Source organism: Homo sapiens, chromosome 18 (assembly GCF_000001405.40).
Source record: "Homo sapiens chromosome 18, GRCh38.p14 Primary Assembly".
Classification (NCBI taxonomy): domain Eukaryota; kingdom Metazoa; phylum Chordata; class Mammalia; order Primates; family Hominidae; genus Homo; species Homo sapiens.
Window position 1 is genome coordinate 46,716,636 of NC_000018.10, and position 20,163 is coordinate 46,736,798.

Sequence of the window (20,163 nt, forward strand, 5' to 3'; positions counted from 1 at the left end):
GTGCCTGGATCTAGGGGATCCAGAGGGCCCTGGAGATGCTCGCACAGGTGGTCTAGCCCAGTCCTCCAAAGCCAGAGGCTCCTCGGGATTTGGGGAATACCTGAGCAAACACAGAAGGATTATGTGCACTCGCCAGAGGGTCCTCTGTGTGTGCAATGACAGAAGTTGCCCTGGGGGCAGACGTATCTACAGAAGGCAGAGTTAAAGGTGATTCGGTTGGGCTGGGGCTAGCAGGGAAGGCTTCAAGGAGGAAGTGGATACTGGAGGGAGGACAAGGACCTGGATGTGGAGCCAGACCCAGTTGGCAGAAGCTGAGTGAAGCCCTTTGTGCTGTGGCCATGGGCCAGGCTGACAGTCAGCTCTGCTGGGACAGTGTCTGGGGGACTCCTGCCTCAGCTGTCCTCTGTCCCTGTGACTGAAGTGGGGGATGTTTTCCTGAGGCAATGCATGCAACACTGCCCACCCTACAGGACAGAGGCCATCACCATGAGGGCACCGCTGCCTCCCCCTGCTCTCTGAGCAGTTGCTGGGCAGACAGGCAGCTAGGCCAGTCCAGAGGGAACAGGGTTGCAGCTGACCATGGAGGACAAGTACCCTCTATCCTCCTCTGCCTTCCCAGAGGGGCCATGCTCGGTGAGGGGTGTTCAGGAGGAGGTCTAGTCAGTTAGCACAGGAGCACGTCATCTGCCTTCACTGCCCCGTCTCTACTTTTTTTTTTAGACGGAGTTTTGCTCTTGTTGCCCAGGCTGGAGTGCAATGGCGTGATCTCAGCTCACCACAACCTCTGCCTCCTGAGTTCAAGCGATTCTCCTGTCTCAGCCGCCCGAGTAGCTGGGATTACAGACATGTGCCACCACGCCTGGCTAATTTTGTATTTTTAGTAGAGACGGGGCTTCTCCACCCTCTCTACTTTTTATACCTCACCCCCACCAACTGTCAGTCTTCCTTTTCCCACCCAGAAGCCCACAAATGTCAGCCTGCCCTACTATCAGCTCTTTTCAAGAGCGAATTCTCTGGCAATTCCAGCCTGTGAATGAGTTTCTGATTCTAATGTGTTTCCAGAAAGGGGACAACTTTTCAAAGACAGTGCCAGGAGACAAGGTTGAATCCAAAGGGATAAATCTCTAAGGGAAGACTCAGGAACACTGAAATCTAAGTTTTCTTTCTTACCAATAGCCTTTACTATTTCCTCGCTTAATTCATTTTTTTTTTTTACACAATTCACATTTATTGAGCACCTACTACATAACAGGTGCCACGCTAGGTTCTGGCAATTCAAAACGGAAGATGCACAACAACTGTCTTACTGAGACGATGGAAGCACAAACACATGAGAAATGTCTTCACAGGCCTTCCTACTTGTGCAAAACACCCACTTAAATAGAAATATTTGCTGATTGAAAATTATTCCGGCTGGGTGCTGTGGCTCACGCCTGTAATCCCAGCACCTTGGGAGGCTGAGGCAGGTGGATCACTTGAGGTCAGGAGTTCAAGACAAGCCTGGCCAACACAGTGAAACCCCGTCTCTACTAAAAATTACAAAAATTAGCCGGCGCTGGTGGCAGGTGCCTGTAGTCCCAGCTACTCAGTAGGCTGAGGGAGGAGAATTGCTTGAACCCGGGAGGCGAAGGTTGCAGTGAATCAAGATTGCATCACTGCACTCCAGCCTGAGCAATGGAGTGAAACTCTGTCTCAAAAAAAAAAAAAAAAGAAAAAAAATTATTCCTATATGCTCATTAAATCAGTTCCCCTAAGGATGCTTATTGGACAACACTTCATAGACCTAGACTTGAAATTAATAAAGCTATATGTCAATGTATATCTTATAGCTCACACCTTTCTAATTCAGCCTGTACTTCCCCAGCCTGTGACCAATAAGAAGATCTGACCACAGCCTTTTATGAGCACTATCTGGCTTGAATTTGCTTTGTAGTGCTGTTTGGAGTTTTCCGGACTAATCATTTGGACTGGCTCCTTCTGCCTGTGGCTCCTGCTTGAGTATATACAATGTATGAGTCATTTGCTTCTTTGCCCCTCTTCATCCTCTGGTTATATTTGGTACTTCCTGACTTCCTTTCCAAACTGTTAATAATAAATAACAGGTTGTACCACACTTCAACACCACACAACTATAGATAGCAAAACATGGCATGCACTGAATTATTCAATATGTGAATAATACCATGAAGCTCATCCCATCTTCCAGATTTGGAGAGTTGTCAATTGGGACAATGTACGTCGTGTCCTCGTTAGGTCCTCCCCCAAGCTCTGCACAGCTGCTGCCAGGAGCTGTCCTGCCCATTTTAAAGAAGGCAGAAGCTGCTCACACGCCAGGGTAAAAACTCCAGTTCCATTCTAACTACGTTAACCATTATTTCCCACATGTGGGGACTCTACGTACTGCAGTCCTTCAACTAGGGGGGTACTTCGGGGTCAACTAGAAATAGAGATTTGAAATTGGAATTGTCCCAGGAAAATGTGGGAGGTGTGGTCATGCCATTTATTCTGTGACTAAGGAAATTCTTGCTCAAATGGGAGCGCTCCAGAAGGAAGTCAACTCAGCTGCTAACAATGTTGCATCAAAGGCACCTGAATTCCAAAACCAACTTGACAGAGGTCAGCTGTGTCTCTGACCCTGCAGGCTCCCGGCTGATAGGAAAGAGGAAGCTGGCCCAGATCATGGAGAGAGGGGCAGAGAAAATAAAGGGCAAGAGGAGTGAGAAAGGGAGTAGGGAAGCAAGGACGTGGAGGAGAGAGGGAGGCAATGGGGAGGAAGAAAGGAAGGATGGACAAAAACAGGTAACAGGAAGAAAGGCAGAGGAGAACACAGGTGCAGTGAGGGCTATGAGAAGTTACAGGTGAAACCGTGGAAAGAGGAAGGAAAGACAAAAGATACTGGCAGCAGGAAAAGTTAGGAATGGAGCCCATGCAATGACAATGGTTTCAGCCACTGACTGGAGACATCTGCCAAGAAACAGCTTCCCAGGGGCCCGTCGGTCCGCCTTGCTCACTTGACTCGCCTTTCTATCTTTCTCTTTCTTTTCTTTTTTCTTTCTTTCTTTCTTTCTTTCTCTCTTTCTTTCTCTCTTTCTCTCTCTTCTTTCCTTCCTTTCTTTCTTTTCTTTCTTTCTCTCTTCTTTCCTTTTCTTTTTCTTTCTTTCTCTCTCTCTTCTTTCCTTCCTTTCTCTTTCTTTCTTTCTTTCTCTCTCTCTTTCTTTTTTTTGACAGGGTTTCACTCTGTCACTCAGGCTGGAGTGCAGTGGCACAATCTGAGCTCACTGCAGCCTCTGCCTCCCAGGTTCAAGCTATTCTCCCGTCTCAGCCTCCTGAGTAGCTGGGATTACAGGCATGTGCCACCACACCCGGCTAATTTTTGCATTTTTAGTAGAGATGGGGTTTCACCATGTTGGCCGGGCTGGTCTCAAACTCCTGACCTCAAGTGATCCACCCGCCTTGGCCTCCCAAAGTGCTGGGATTACGGGCATGAGCCACCATGCTTGGCTTTGACTCGCATTTTCTACCCCAAACCTCTTGAAGAACTCTCCCAGGAGTCCAGTAGGGAGGTACACACTTGCTGACTTACCTAGACTGCTCACCACCTGGGAGGCAGGGCCGCTTAGCAGACAGGCCAGCATGGGAGGCTCAGCTTCCCAGGACAAGCATGGGCCCCCACCTTACCCGTGATGTCCAGAGCTCCCTCTGCACTTCCATGGAAAGAACTGTGGTCCCAAAGGCCAGCATAAGACCCTCCAGCCCAGGCCACAGCGTGCGACCATCCCCACACCCTCGGGCATGTCTGTGGACATTTGCTTGACTGGTTTCTGACATCAGAATCTCATCTTTCTCAAAGCATTGAATAAAAACATACATATCAGGGGTCCTTGAAAAACCCATTACTTCTCTGCAGGGTCAATTTAATGTTTGTGTGTCAAAATCACCAGCAACAAAAATGCAAGCCTCTCTCTCAGGGAAACGGACGTGAGAGTTACCCCCTCCTTAAAAATACAAAAATTAAGAAACCAAACAGCTTAATCAGCCCCTGGGAATGCTTAGCTGGCAGGTTCCAGTCATACCCAGCTCCCAGCAGAGACAGTATCCTGCCTCATCTGCAAAAATTCTCCACAATACCCTCCCTGCAATGAGTGTGCTCAGCCTGAGAATATTCCATTTTTATTCATTCAACAAATATTACTGATCAAGAGGAAATAGCCACATGATGGGGCGCATAGCAAATCTCAGCACCACCTTGATGGAAATGGTTCTGCTCCAGCCAAGGGCAACCTCCCCTGTGGGCAGGGCAGGGAGTACCTGGGCAAGGGACTTCAGAGAAGCAGGGAACACCCACCTGACACCCGCTTCTTGATGCCACCCACCCACACACACCTACACACACTTGCTGGCTGATATCCGAAATCCCTGCAGCAGGGACAGAGCTTTGGCCCCCACCCCTAAATGGAGGTTTGAGACCAAGACTCCCCACCCTACCCCCTGATAGAAGGGGCCAGTGAATCCCCGCTTGGTTGTGGTTGGGTCCTATGCCTCACCCTTCAAATTCATTCACCTTCAAGTTAAAGGAACCAGGTGGGATACCAAAGTGCAGGGAGTTTCGAGCCACCAGAACAAGACCTGCTTCTTCCACCCTAGGAAGTGGACAATGTGGCAGGGGCTGCAGGGCCACCCCGGGTTGAGCTTCCCCCACTCCCTGGCCTTTTGCCGGGGTCTGTACCTGGAGCTGGAGTCACTGCCGCTCTGCACTGCTGGATCATCCGTGACATTAAAGAGCCCCGTCCAATTGGTCAGCTGGTCACCACTCTGCCAACCAAACTGGAGGCCTCTGGCAAGAAAACGAGGCAGTCGGTACTCATGCTCATTTGCTGGGTTAAGCCTGCCTACCAGAGAGCCACATTCTGTTGCTGTGCCCAAGTGACACATTGCCTTGGTCATGCAATTAAAGGAGGCGATGGTACTGACTCCAACCATGAGGATGGTGATCATAAACCACAGCCCTCTACAGTGCTCTCTGCGGTTCTGCATCTATCCCCTCATTCCATCTGTACCAGCAGGGCTGAGAGCACACATTTCACACACAGGGACATTGCGACTTTGCGAGACAAAGGTCGCAGAGCTCTTCTACCTCCTATACCGTGCCATCCCTCAATTCCTGCCTCCAGTTAAACCAAAAGAGCGCCAGCACCACATTTTGTCCTCCTCAAAAGCCAGACACACTTCAGAGCTTTTAATAAAATCTACAGTATTCCAGCACACAAGGATACCACTTTTGGTTCAAGACGTGCACTCAGCACATGCTTATCTTCACTCCTTCCCCAACCCTCACTAAAATGACAGCAAAGGGATAAATACAGACATGCATGTCGGGAGAAGGCCATAGAAGGGGCCAGCAATAACATGCTGGATGATGAAAAGCACAAGGTCATGGACCTCCACCAGACAGTGGACATCTTACTTCCTGCAAAAAGCAGATCTACTCGCAGTGAACAACTCAGGAAGGCTCAGGAATGAAAGGTCCCCAGGGCCAGCGAAGGTGGGAGTGCACAATGGAGCTAAGAGCAGCATTGTTTGAAGTCTGCACAAAAAGCAGTCAGACAACCCTCTCCCCAACGCCCTGTGAATTCCCATACCAGGCCCTCTTCCCAAGCCCAGGCAGCCTGGCCACTCCACCTGCCCACCTCACAGATGTCAGGAGATTGCTTTCTGGGGAAACCGACTCACAGGAGTTCTGCGCTCTTTTCTCTTATCAGAGACTCTGCACTGAAAACAGTGGATGTGCCTGAAAGTCTGCTTACTGAGTGCACCTGGCTTCTGAATGCTTGGGTCACACACCCTGCCTTCCAGGTTTGCTGAGGGATGGGTTTCTCAGGAGGGAAACTGATCCGCTCAAAAGAAACAGATATGGAGGAAAGGGTTGGTGCCCGCTTAATTGCCCCAGGGCAGGCTTTCTCAGCCTGGCACTATGGCATCTGGGGTTGGCTACTTCATTGTTGTGGGACTGTCCTGTGCATTATAGGATGCTGAGCAACATCCCTGCTCTCTACCACCAGATGCCAGCAGCATTGTACCCTGGACCCTCCTGCTGCAGCAATCAAAAATGTCTCCAGACATTGCCAATGTCTACTGGGGGCAAAATTGCCCCAGTTGAGAATCGCTGTCTATAACAATCCACAGAGCTTCCAAGAAACCTTCTAGTGACTGGCTGGCCCTTAAATATAAACAAGCTATTAAGACCATCATCATGTGAAGAAAACTTTAACAGTCAGAGAACAAAACAAAACAAAATAAAACAGAACAGCTTTCTCTGCTCATGCCCAGTGTGGTCTCAATATGCAGAACAATGCCAGTGAGTTCATAAACCTGTACCTCCCATGGAAATGCTCCACCAGCAACCATTGGTGCCGAGGACCATGGGTCCATGCAAAACGACATGGGCGAGATTGACAAGGTTACGGGCAGGTTTAACGACCAGTTTAAAACCTATGTTATCCAGAGGGCCATTCGCAGGATGGGTGAGTCAGATTATTCCATTCTCCGATTGGCCAAAGCCAACAGCATCGCCCCAGAAAGAACTTTTGACTGGACAGAATCATGGATGTGGAATATTTCTCTAAATAAATAGTGAGGCCAGGCTTGATGGCTCATGCCTATAATCCCAGCACTTTGGGAGGCCGAGGTGAGTGGATCACCTGAGCTCAGGAGTTTGAGACCAGATTAGACAACATGGTGAAACCCCATCTCTACAAAAAATACAAAAATTAGCTGGGCATGGTGGCACTTGCCTGTAGTCCCAGCTACTTGGGCGGCTAAGGCGGGAGAATCCCTTGATCCTGGGAGGTGGAGGTTGAAGTAAGCCGAGATCACACTACTGCACTCTAGCCTGAGCAAGAGAGTGAGACCCTGTCTTGAATGAATGAATGAATGGATAGATGAATGAATAAATAGTGAAACACTTAAAAAAAGAATGCAGGGGGAAAAAGACAAATGAAAAAAGCAGAAGGCCAAGCGTAGTGGCTCATGCCTGTAATCCCAGCACTTTGGAAGGCCGAGGCAGGCGGACTGCCTGAGGCCAGGAGTTCGAGACCAGCCTGGCCAGCATGGTGAAACCCTGTCTCTACTAAAAATACAAAAATTAGCCAGGCATGGTGGCAGGTGCCTGTAATCCCAGCTACTCAGAAGGCTGAGGCATGAGAATCGCTTGAACCTGGGAGGTGAAGGTTGCAGTGAGCTGAGATCGTGCCATTGCACTCCAGCCTGGGTGACAAGAGCAAAACTCCATCTAAAAAAAAAAAAGAAAAAAGCAGAATTTTTTTTCAATAAAACCCTTAATAATAAATAGCCTCTAAGCTAAGGGAATGGGGCAGCAGATGGTCACTGGAGCTGGGAACTGATCCATCCATATCTCCACTAATAGGCTGAGTACCTGAGTCTCTGCACCTCTCAAGGCCTCTGTTCCCATCTTTCAAGAGGACTGTCTCAGTTGCCTTCAAAGTCTTTGACTGCAAGTATCACAGATCTGAGCCTTCTTCTATGATGCCCACGCACCTCCCTCTTCAGAAGTCTAGCTCACCTCCTACGTGTGTGTCAGCTTAGTCTCCCAGCCAGACCCTGGGCTGAGGAGGCCCCTTGGGGCCCTGCCAGCAGCTCTCTGCTGCACACATGAAGTGCTCCAGCGATGCTTTGCTGAGTAACAGTAGACCCTGTTCTCATACTCTCCAGGCTCCACAGCAGTGGGGAGCTCAGAGGAAAAGGTACAACTCACAGGGCAGAGGCCGAAGCCAAAGCAAAATGCCTGTCCAGTTCTTAGTCCATTCAAAACACAGAAGGGCTCCGGTCTGGTTCTGATTCAATAGTTATTCATTTATCCATTTATTTATTTATTGAAGTGGTTGTTTCCTTTCAAAGAGATCACCAAGGTATTTCTTGGAGAAAATTTGGGTTTGGTTTATTCAGAAGAGAGACACTTTGAGCACCTATTATGAACCCGGCCCTTTACATAAATGGTCTCAATTCCTACAAACGCCTCATGCAGAAAATCTCATGATCGGGCCAAGCATGGTGGCTCACACCTGTAATCCCAGAATTTTGGGAAACCGAGGTGGGTGGATCACTTGAGGTCAGGAGTTCGAGACCAGCCTAGCCAACATGGTGAAACCCCATGTCTACTAAATATACAAAAATTAGCTGGGCATGGTGGTGCGTGCCTGTAATCACAGCTACTCTGGGAGGCTGAGGCATGAGAATCACTTGAACCCGGGAGGCAGAGATTGCAGTGAGGAGAGATCATGCCACTGCACTCCAGCCTGGGTGACAGAGCAAGACGAAAGAAAGGAAGAAAGAGAGAGAGGAAGGAAGGAAGGAAGGAAGGAAGGAAGGAAGGAAGGAAGGAAGGAAGGAAGGAAGGAAAAGAGAGAAAGAAAGGAAGGAAGAAAGAAAATCTCATTATCTCCATTTACAGCTGATGAAATATGCAGCTTAGAGAGGTTTAGTAGCTTGCCCAAGTAACAAGTAGCTAAGCTAAGATTTAAACCGAGGGCTAACTCTAAATGCTTCTACTCCTAAAAGTCTTTACCAAACAGCCTAGAGGCCAAGAAAACAGTAATATTTCCACCCGAGATTTTGCAAACTAGTTAGTTCACAAACATATCAAATCAATGTCCAGCCCAGGAGTCTGCTACGAAACTCATGGGTCCTTAAAAAATAGTCTAACCAGCTAGACTTCTTCCCACAGCATGCATGAAGGGTCAGCTAGCCAGCCACACTGTCATCCTCCTACCCATGGTGAGACCCCATGTCCCTTCACATGGCAGTCCCCTCCCAGGACTATAGAAGCGAGGGACTACTGAGCAGAAAATATGATGACTTAGCAAGACACTCATTATTAAATGGCACGGGTGGGGGGGGAACAAGTTACAAAAGGAGATACCCAATAGTAGTTCCATTTCTGTAAGGTTTTATACCAGAAAGCTGGTTACTTTTGTAGGTGGAATTAAAGTTTATTTTTTCTTTTAGTTTAGCAATGTTTACTCATTTACCTCAAAAAAACCTAACTGCATAATTTTCAAAACCAATGTATTATATAATTTAAATTCCATTCCTGAGCTAAGGATAGGATCTATTATTAGTCAAAGAAACCCAATGAGGAAGGCCTGTGGAGGTATAAAGGAAGATGACAAAATGAAAAAACATTTCATGGCTGGGCACAGTGGCTCACGCCTGTAATCCCAGCACTTTGGTAGGCCATGGTGGGAGGATCACTTGAGGTCAGGAGTTTGAGACCAGCCTGACCAACATGGTGAAACCCCATCTCTACTTAAAAAAAAAAAAAATATATATATATATATATATATATATATATATATATATCCTGGATATATATATATATCCTGGATATATATATATATCCAGGAATGGTGGTGCACACCTGTAGTCCCAGCTACTTGGGAGGCTGAGGCAGGAGAATTGCTTGAACCTGGGAGGCAGAGGCTGCAGTGAGCCGAGATTGTGCCACTGCACTCCAGCCTGGGTGACTGAGTGAGACTCTGTCTCAAAAATAATAATTAAATAAAATAAATTTGTAAAAAAATTTAAAAAATAAAACATTTTATTCACTCATTCATTTATATAACATTTGTTGAGCATCTACTATGCATTAGGAACTGGTAGTTGCTGGGCCAAGTAACAGCAAAGAGCAAACGCTTGTTTCCAAAATGCTCACCATAAAATTGAGATAATTACACTAACACACATAGAAATATTAGCAAACAAGATAGGGCAAAATCAAGTGCTTAAATGGAGTGCTGTAACTGGTTTTTTATGTCTAATTTATTTTTTCAAAAAGAAAAGATTTGAAGTAAATACGGCAGGATGTTAACATTTGTTAACACTGCTAATTCTCAGTCATGACTGCATGAATGTTTGTTATATTGTTCTCCATATTCTTTTGTAGTCTATAATTCCATAATAAAAATACACGTTAAAATAATTTTTAAGGCCAGGCACGGTGGCTCGTGCCTGTAATCCCATCACTTTGGGAGGCCAAGGAGGGTGGATCACGAGGTCAGGAGTTCAAGACCAACCTGGCCAAGATGGTGGATCCCCATCTCTACTAAAAATACAAAAAAATTAGCCCAGTGTGGTGGCGCATGCCTGTAATCTCAGCTACTCAGGAGGCTGAGGCAGAGTATTGCTTGAACCCAGGAGGCGGAGGTTGCAGTGAGTCAAGATCACACCACTGCACTGAGCAAACAGAGCGAGACTCCATCTCAAAAAACAAACAAACAAACAACAACAACAAAAAACAAGTGCTTAACTGTGCTAAACTCGTAATCACTAACAAGGCCTTAGAGTAGCCAAGGGCAGCTTCCTGGACTCAGTCAGCCTTGCAGAATCTTTGCACCTTGCAGGTTAAGCTAGAATTGAACACAGCCCTGAACCTAAGGAAACAGAACATATAAGAATTATGTAAACTGATTTATTCAAGACTGGATTCAGATATTTAGAGGCCTCAAGCACTGAAAAGTGTGTGGTGCCACCTCACGCCCATACTTACTCAAAAGTTATGTGCCTGTTAAAATAAAAATAGCTCTGTCTGGATTTTCTGATTATAAAATCTGGGATATGTTTATGGAGGCTCAGCTTTTCTCTGTTGTGTGGTTATTGCTGACAACCTGGCTCAGCCAGGTCCCTGGTTGTGTAACCCACAGCCATGTAACATAGCCCCTTGCTCTCATGGCAATGAATCCTACAGCCATCAGAGGATGGGGAAAGCTGCCCATGCTTCCCTGAGCCAACTACCAGGGGAATTTCAGGACAGAAGGCAAAATCACATCTCAGAGAAGCAATTTAAAAACAGGTGGAACTACCTCCATTAATAATACCCTCCAAATATTGTAAGGCATTATCTTATTAAAATTTTTGCCAATGGATTAAAATATATATATGTTCCAGGCACTGTGACAGATTTACATGTTATTTCAAATCCTCCCAAAAGCCTATAGGTGGGCATTAGTATCACCATTTCACAGATGAGGAAACTGAACCTAGGGAGATTAGATTTACAACCTGCCCAGATATTGTGAAGAGCAGAGAAAGTATTCAAGCCCAAGCCCGGCGTCAGGGCCCATGTTTCTTCCTTCTCTCCTTTAACCCCATGTTCTCATGCTCTTTTTTGGGGAAAAAAAGACTTTTCCATTGTCCAATATTTTTAATATTATTTGAGCTGCTGCCATTGCTGTGGACTGTTTAATGACGAAGTCTATATAAAACAAACCATGCATGGGTGTGGTGGCTCACGCCTGTAAGCATTTTGGGAGGCCGAGGCAGGAGGATCACAAGGTCAAGGGATCGAGACCATCCTGGCCAACATGGTGAAACCCCATCTCTACTAAAAATACAGAAATTAGCTGGGTATGGAGGCATGAGCCTGTAGTCCCAGCTACTCAGGAGGCTGAGGCAGGAGAATCGCTTGAACCCAGGAGGCAGAGGTTGCAGTGAGCTGAGATCACACCACTGCACTCCAGCCTGGTGATAGAGCGAGACTCCATCTCAAAAAAAAAAAAAAAACTATAGAGTATTATAAAATGAAGAGGCTGAACAAAATCATCTCTGAGATCCTTTCCCATTTTGATTGAAGTGCCAAAGTTACAGAATTTCTGGCACTGGAGGAGGCCAGTGGAGGCAATTTTGTGGGGGACACAGGAAGGGGAGGAAGTGGCACATGCGTAGCTATCCATTCACAGTGTGTGGGCTCCTGCACAATCTGCCTTCGCATATGGTAGGCCTGGGGCCAAGCATCCGCGAGTGCCCACTCAGATGCTGGAATCTCCAGGGTGGTTGAACCAAAAGAGGCTGAATCTATGGGGCACAGGGCATTTGGCACTGTGGACTTAGGTTCCCCAAAGAAGCCCCACCCCTGATGCCAGAGCCCAGGACCCCATGTGCTGACTGCTCAACCCAGTGGGGCACAGCGTGCAGCCCAGGTCACCAAGAGACTGGCCATGTGCTCAAGACAAAATGCAACTGAACCCATCCTTGCAAACCACCTCCAAGAGCCTCCTGCTTCAGGCTGAGGCCCCCCCACATGCTCTGGAGAGTGAGACTGAAGCCACTGTCATTGCTCTGCTCTGTTTTTCAGGTCAGTAGAGGACAGGAAGGCAGCTGCTTCCTAGATGGTCTCCTAGGTCTTCATGCCTTCCCTGTCCAACGGCCTGAACACTGCCATCAGAGTGAGCTTCCTAAGGAGTATCCCAATAGCACCACTTGCCTATTCCAGAACCTTCCAAGACTGCCCACGACCCAAAGGACAGGATCAGACCCTCAACTCAGTGCCCCAGGAGTGGCCCTGCAGTTTCACTTGCACCCCTCTGCAAACCTCAGCTTTTTAAGCCACTATTGTGCTCCCACAATCATCCTGCGCCCCACCTGCCTCAATGTCCCTCAACCTCCAACGTCCAGCTCAAGCACCACCACTTCCCTGAGGCCCTTCTTGACCACTCTGGCCCAGCCCACCAGGCCGTCCCACCTTGGAACTAAGTCAGCACTTACTCTCCAACCCCCTACACCTTCTCATCCTGCCTCACTCAGCGGTCACCTCTGCCTGTCTATCTGTGAGTTCTGTCACCCCTACATAATTATGGTCCTTCCTAGGGAAGAAACTAGACTTTATATCTAAAACTGAGCCCCAAATTGTCTTTCTCAAAGTCCTTAAGCAACCAGAGTGGGGAAAGGGGGCCAGGGGTGGGTGCCTTGAACTCCACCCTCCCCAGAGGTCTCCTTAGGAAAATTGGAACAGGAGGGTCTTACCAGTCCTGGGAAAGAGGAAGAAACAGAGAGAGGGGAGGCCAGCCAGAAACACATGCCAGACTGCTTGTTGAGTCCAACCCTCCTGGGGCAGGCAAAGGGACTGCAGCCATAGAGGTGTTAGAGGTGTTGCCAGGCAAACTCCCACCCAAGAGACAAGTTTTACAGTGGATAATCCAGAGCTAGTAAGGGGCACCAGGCAGGGAGGGGTATGACTTGAAGGCCCACAGGGGCTGTCCCCTGTCCCTAAAGTATCTTACCCATTAACCTGTCACTAAGACTCCAAAAGAATGACAGTGTTGCGACCAACAATTACAAACGGACTTCTTCAGTGTTAGGAGATACTGCTGCTGCCCTCAAGAACTGACAGTCCGGTTTTAACTGTTATTTGGGAAATGACCACCTTGCACAGGTGGGGTCCTCGGAAGAGTCCAGAGGTTAGGGGGTGGTGAGAGGACAGAAAATGCAGTGAACTGGAGGAGGCCAGGCCAGGGTTCTACTAAGAACTGCAGCACTAATCCCAGAAATTGTTAGTTCTCAGTGAGGGGCAAATAGCTCCAATGCTAAACAGCCTTTGGCAGGATTTCAGGCAGAAGTGCCAGTTTGATGAGGGAGAAGGTTCTGGATAAGAAGGTGTTATCAGTGCCTCTCCATCAGTCACAAACCTGCAGCTGCCATGTTCCTTTAAAGGTGTTAACACCAGCCCCAGAAGTGGCCACTTTCTTCAGAGCTTCAATAGCCATCCAAGCAGATGACTCACCTCCAGGCAATGCTTGCCTCTAGAGATTCTTGGATAGGGGGGCTCGCATTCCACCATTCACTAGCAGTGTGACTCTCAGCATTGAACCTCTTGAAGTCTCAGTTTTCTCATCCGTCAAAGGGGATGAATAATCCTCAACCTAAGGATATAAACAGTCTACAAAAGCAGACATATAAATGCTAACATGCATATAAAGGCTTTTATATCTAATATACACAATTAAAATGTATTTAACCCAATGTTTGCATAAAGAAAAGATAATGGAGTGGTTGATGGACAAGGTGAGAAGTCTTCCTTTCCATTTGTACACACTTTTGTAACTTTTGATTTTATACATGCTTGCATTACTTTTTCAAAAAATAAACAAAAGTAGGCCTGGCACTTTGGGAGGCCAAGGCAGGGGGATAGCTTGAGCTCAGGAGTTTGAGACCAGCCTAGGCAACATAGTGAGAACCTGTCTCTATCAAAAAATCAAAAAATTAGAGCTTAGGAGGCTGCGTCAGGAAAATCATTTGAGCACAGGAGGTTGAGGCTGCAATTAGTCATGATCACACCACTGCACTCTAGCCTGGGTGACAGGGCAAGATGCTGTCTCAAAAAATAAAAATAAAGGAAATAAGCAAAAGTAGGCTGGGCACAGGAGCTAATACCTGTAATTCCAGTGCTTTGGGAGGCTGAAGTGGGAGGATTGCCTGAGACCCAGAGTTAAAGGCTGCACTGAGCTATGATTGTGCTACTGCACTACAGCCTGGATGACAGAGCAACAACACCCTGCGTCTAAAAAAGAAAAAAGAAACAACAACACAGATGGTCACCCCAACTACCAGGTGAAGTGAAGATGAACTATGTGTGACAAATGGCTCTGTCAACTACGTGAGCGCTAGTTGTTTATCCGGAGAAGATGCAGGTAGCGGGCTGTAGCTGCCTGGTTATGTCAAGGGGGAGATTTCTTTCTGTCTTTGCAGTCTCTTAGCAGATTGCCTGTGATGAGCACTACGTTCTGATTTAATGCTTATTCAATAGTAAAAACATTTTATTTCTCTACCAAAAGAAAAAGAAAAAGGCCTTTTGGTAACTCTTTTGGCGTTGCACAAACAGGAGGGATGGTAGCGACGATGATGGCTGGTATTAACACAAAAATGAAAAATAAGGAAAACAAAACAAGGGCAGTTGTTTCATGCTGAGAATGTCATGTCTTTCTCCTGAGTAACTGCTACTACCCATACCCCTCGGGGAACTAGAGGTCACTGAGCACCGGGCTCAGGGCCCCTTCACCTCCCTCTCGCCCCAGCAGGAGAGCCCAGGCCCCTGTGGAGGGCGAGGACTCCAAGGATCAGTAGCCAGAGTGGCTGCAGCCACTGATCTGAAAGTCCTTCCTGACCCAAGTCTTGACCAAGAACAAAGCCAAATCCACTTCTTCTCCTTAAAACAACTCAATCTTAAGCCAGCAGCCACCCCAGAACAGACGCCCTTACCTTCCTGACGGATCCCATCCTGGCCAGGGGAGGGCCCTGCTCATCCTATGACCATCATCTCTAAAGTTAGGGATGGCACCATAACATGCACACTTTCGCTCAAGAAGCTCTCCTTAGAGAGCTCCTCTATGCTCTTCTTGGACCTTTTAGAGCATCACGCACCCTGGGTAAAACAGCCAATAAAAGTACAACCGCACATTAATCATTTATATTTCTACAAAGTGCTTCACTTCTACCAGGGAGCAAATTCAAACCTGGGCATGAGGGGCCCAGACAGAGAACGAGCAGAGCGAAGGCAACAAGAACAGGGGAGGGTGTCTGTGCTGCCCAAGTTGTGGGAAGACAGGCCTCGGGTTGCCACTTTGCTCATTTGTCCAAGAGGGGCAGGAAGTCCAGGCTTTTATTTTTCATTTCCCAGTTCTTAAAGGTTGCCAATGAATCCAAACTTGAAACACTGTGCAGACCAAATACGACACGCTGTAGGCTGCAGACCACCCATTGGCAGCCCCTGAGTTGCAGCATCTTGCTCCATCCTGACCCCAGTCCTGTGAGGGAGAGAGGTAGAGTGCACCATCAGCCATCACAGCTGAGGAAACAGGCATAGAGTGGGAAGTTAGCTCAAGCCACCTGGGGGCAAAGATAGGCCTGGAACCCAGGAGTCCTGACTCCCAGTTCAGGCCTCTCAGCACCCAAGGTCTGGATCCTGTCCCGGGAGTCAGTTGCACCCAGCACACATTGGGGTCTTCCCATATTGGGGTGCTGGGTCAGTGACCTCAGCCTTCTGGCCTCATGCACAACACACCTGTTCACCTTTACTGCTATCCTCACACTGGCCCAGGTGAGCGCATTCCAGGGCCCTGCCTGTCACCACCCCCTCCCTCTTGACAGGCATACAACAGGAATGAGAATGACTGTACTCCCTATCATTAGAGGGATAACCTTGAGTAGGCTCTATTCGTAAAAAAACAATAAAAGAAGAAAATCATTCACAAACGTTGCTATTTAACTTTTGTGGGAGGATAATCTATTGAATTATTCATTTGTATTTTCCCTCCTCCATTCCAGAAAGGTAGCTCGGTTTTCTTATCTTCAACCCAGGGCCAACTGGGTTGTGGGGGCGAAAGGCTTCAATGCTCAAGAAATTGTGCTGTGAAGAAACTGTGTGAGAGAGTCCTGGGGGAGGTGGGGGGCCAGTGCCTCTGGGTCTCGGGAGGGCTGGTGGAAGTGGTGAGACCATGGCCCAAACCAGGAAGCCCATGCTAGCAGCTTGAGATCGCTCTGTCCACATCCCTCACAAGGGATAGCAGGACCTCAGAAAGGGGCAGCTCGGGAGGCTGGACCCAGGGCTCCAGAAGCCTCCAGAAAGCAGTGAGCAGATCAGCAGGGCCAGCACAGCCCAGGGGGTCCACGGCACTGTTCTGTCCCACACAAGACCCCCAGGGTCTTCACACAACCCTGGGAGGGGGAAGACCCCGAAGGCGGCTCAACACTGGTGGATTCAACTTCCCACAAATTGGTGGGTAAGGTTTAGTCATGTTTTTAATGAAAGAAAGTTTAAAAATGAGCCATTTCTTTCACACCAAGCCAAGCTTGTGAAATAAAATGTATAATTGCTTTTCTATTGTTAATCAGCAAATCACTTGCATTGGACCTCACAGTGTATCGAGGGTACCTTTCCTTTTCCCATTCATTCTATTTTCATCTTGTTATATATGCATAATATTTATTTTATGATATTATTCTATATTGGTCCAACAGCCATCCCAGGCCACATACTGAGGCTCAACAGCGAGCAAGCCACCAAAGCCTTGCCCCAGTGACTCTTAATTTCTACCAGAGGGAGACAGATATGACGACAATAAACTAACAGGCGACAAAATGCGTCATACGCTAAAGGGTGAAAGGTGTTGTGGGAGAAATAAAGGGAGGAAAGGGGGATAAGGGGCTTGGGGTGGGGGAGGAATGTTATTCCACACAGGGCAGTCAGGGAGGCCTCTCTGGGAAGGGGACATGTGAGCAGGACAGGAAGTGGGTGATGAGGGGCCAGCCCAGGTGGATGCGCTAGGTGAGGACTGTCCCCTGCAGAGGCAGAGGTGAGGGGAGGATGAGCTTTCACTGGGGCCAAGTGAGCCAGGGGCAGGGTGGCCAGTGATGGGGCATCAGTTCATGGAAGAAAGGAACACTGCCTTTCTGGGGTCCCTCAAAGCCATGTGAGAGGAAGGTGAGTCCAATTTCATCTCTGGAGGAGCCAAGAACTCAGCCAGGAGTCTCTGTGGGCTGGGCCCAGAATGTAGGCTTCTCCCCGTCCCTAGGGGGCTCTGACCGCCCTTCCCCCACCTACCTCCCGAAGCCCTCCACCATCCCCAGGTCCAGGTAAGGAGATGGGCCCCTCAGAGAAGGTGCCAGGACCTTCCCACCCAGATTAGAGCGGAGATGCTTCTGGTTGCGCCGCATTCTCAGCAGGATGAACGGGCGCAATGACCAGGTTCTGCGCTCCCTTGCCTGTCCATGCTCCTGACTCACTCTGTGACTTACGTTACTTTCCTACGAAGCTCCAGAGGATAACAATTCCCTCATCAGAAAAAGGAAGGGGTTTCATTCACCAGGGTCCACCTGGGGGGCCTTTCATTGGAGGCAAAAGAAAAGATGCTGCAGGGCAGGAGTATCTGGAGGGAGGAGAGGAACGGAGAGACCCCCAACCCCTAGGCCGTTCCCCACCTCCCCCCACCCCTGCTCTCCACCCTGGCAGTACACCTGGGGTTGCCTCTCTAATCTTTTGGGCAGAAATTTCACTCTTCCTTTTCCAGGCTCCACTCAAAGCCTAAATCTTGTCCAGTGGTTCCCAAATTGACTCCGTGGAACACTGGGTCACCCTTTGAGCCTCTGCAGAGGAGAGGAGGGAAAATGGTGGAGGTAGGGTTTAGGACAAGGGAACTAGGTAGGCAGGACTGGAGCCCCCATCCTGTTTCAAGCAGAGCATCCTTCCTTCTAAGGTGAGCATGGGCTCCTACACAGCCCTTAGCCAGAGGGGTCTCTCTGCCTTCTGACTCCAGCAGCAATGAACAAGAGTTTGCACTATCCACTTGGCACTTAGTATATAAGATAGTTGTAAACTCTTCATGTGTGTTTGAGCCTTCCCTGCCCTACCCCAAGAGAGCACCCTGTTTCATCCATCTTGGTAAATGTGATGGTTAACTTTAAGTGTCAACTTGATTAGATTGAAGGATGCAAAATACTGTTCCTGAGTGTGTCTGTGAGAGTGTTGCCAAAGGAGATTAACATTTCAGTCAGTGGACTGGGAGAGGCAGACCCACCCTTAATGTGGGTAGGCACCATCTAATCAACTGCCAATGTGGCTAGAATAAAGCAGACTTACTGAGTCTCCTGGCCTTCATCTTTCTCCATGCTGGATGCTTCCTGCCCTGGAAAATCGGACTCCAAGTTCTTCAACTTTTGGACTCTTGGACTTAACACCAGTGTTTGCCACGAGCTCTCAGGCCTTCGGCCACAGACTGAGGACTGCTCTGCTGGCTTCCCTACTTTTGAGGTTTGGGGACTTGGACTGGCTTCCTTGCTCCTCAGCTTGTAGATGGCCTATTGTGGGACTTCGCTTTGTGATCATGTGAGTCAATACTCCTTAATAAACTGCCCTTTATATATACATCTATCCTATTAGTTCTGTGCCTCTAGAGAACCCTGACTAATACAGTAACCAACGTCTATAGCAGCACCAATAGAAATATACCAGGAGTCACATATATAATTTTAAATTTTCTGGTAGCCACATTATAAAAAAGTAAAAATTCATGTAATAAAATTGCTTAGAACTAAATACACAGACTTATAAATAAGTGCATGCAAAATTGGTGAAATGAGAATTGATGGATTGTATCAATGTGAATTTCCTGGTTCTGATATTGTACTATATTGTTTGGGGTGTTTTAGTTTTTGAGACAGGGTCTTGCCCTGTTGCCCAGGCTGGAATGTAGCAGTGCTGTCATAGCTGACTGCAGCATCAACTTCCTGGGTCCAAGCAATCCTCCCACCTCAGCCTCCTGAGTAGCCAGGACTACAGGCATGCACCACCACACCTGGATAATTTTTTTTTTTTTCGTACAGACAGGGTATCACTCTGCTGCCCAGGCTAGTCTCAAATTCCCGGGGTCAAGTGATCCTCCCACTTTGGCCTCCCAAAGTGCTAGGATTACAGACATGAGCCACCATGTCTGGACATGATATTGTACTATATTGTTTTGAAAGATGTTATCTTTGGAGGAAATTAGGGGAAGTGGATACAGGTTCTCTCTGTGTTGTTACAGCTGCGTATGAATCTACAATTCTCAAAAAGATTTTTTTAAAGTAAAAAGAAACAGGTAAAATTCATTTCAATAATATACTTATTCTAACCTAATATATTCAAATATTATCATTTCAACACACAAACAATATAAAAAAATTAAGGAGATACGTCACATCCCTTTTTTGTATTATGTCTTCGAAATCCAACGTGTATTGTATATGTACAGACAGCATGTCTCAACTCAGACGCAACACTTCCAGTGCTCAGTAGTCACATGGGGCTAGTGGCTAGTGGACAGTGCAGGGCTAGTACACAAAGGGCACACAATGGATGCTTTCTGCATGAATGATGAATGAACCAATTAACCAACCTGAACTAAGAGGGGCCTGAGATTGGACCTGCAGAATAGCACCTCACCAGCAGAAGTGCACCGGGTGGGGGTAGGGGCACATAGATGTGGGGATATTGGCTCTGCAGGCACTGCTGGGTGGAAAGAGAACCCCCTAAAATGAACTTGGATTAGAAGGAGGACAAAAACCCAGCCTAACATGGAAGGAAGAGAAAGCACTTGGGAATTCTTGCTTCCTTTAAACCTTCTTTTGGGGGTTGTGGGGTGTGGTTTATTTCCAAGAAATGGCAATGGTGGTCTTAGGAAGTATTGATCCTTTGATCTGCTGAGGAAGAATGGGGAGTTGGCAGGTTGGAGGAGTGAGGGGAGGGAGGTTTGGCCTTCCTTTGCCCAGATACTCGGCAAATGCAGCACAAAATCAGATGGAATACCAGGCTGGAGTGAGCGTGGATGCATTTTATTCTCCCAG

At 47.7% G+C, this 20,163-nt stretch overlaps 1 protein-coding gene and 1 pseudogene across 3 annotated transcripts in view, besides 1 other annotated feature; one reads left to right on the forward strand and one right to left on the reverse strand.

Annotated features, from left to right (window-relative positions):
• The window catches only part of ST8SIA5 (ST8 alpha-N-acetyl-neuraminide alpha-2,8-sialyltransferase 5), an 89,233-nt gene that overhangs the window by 48,815 nt on the left and 20,255 nt on the right, over positions 1-20,163 (reverse strand). The window contains exon 2 of one of the 3 annotated variants that reach the window (NM_001307986.2): positions 4,727-4,834. The exons of the other annotated variants lie outside the window; for them this stretch is intronic. Within the exon in view, the coding sequence (NP_001294915.1) occupies positions 4,727-4,834 (108 nt within the window). The remainder of the gene's footprint in view (positions 1-4,726; positions 4,835-20,163) is intronic. 3 annotated transcript variants of the gene reach the window in all.
• Positions 439-1,225: an enhancer, noted in NCBI's record as "H3K27ac-H3K4me1 hESC enhancer chr18:44297037-44297823 (GRCh37/hg19 assembly coordinates)". NCBI's record gives its function as "activates a minimal SCP1, AML or CMV promoter by ChIP-STARR-seq in primed H9 embryonic stem cells {active_cell/tissue: H9 hESC(primed)}" and the evidence as "EXISTENCE:reporter gene assay evidence [ECO:0000049][PMID:30033119]".
• RPS21P6 (ribosomal protein S21 pseudogene 6) lies at positions 6,340-6,568 on the forward strand (annotated as a pseudogene).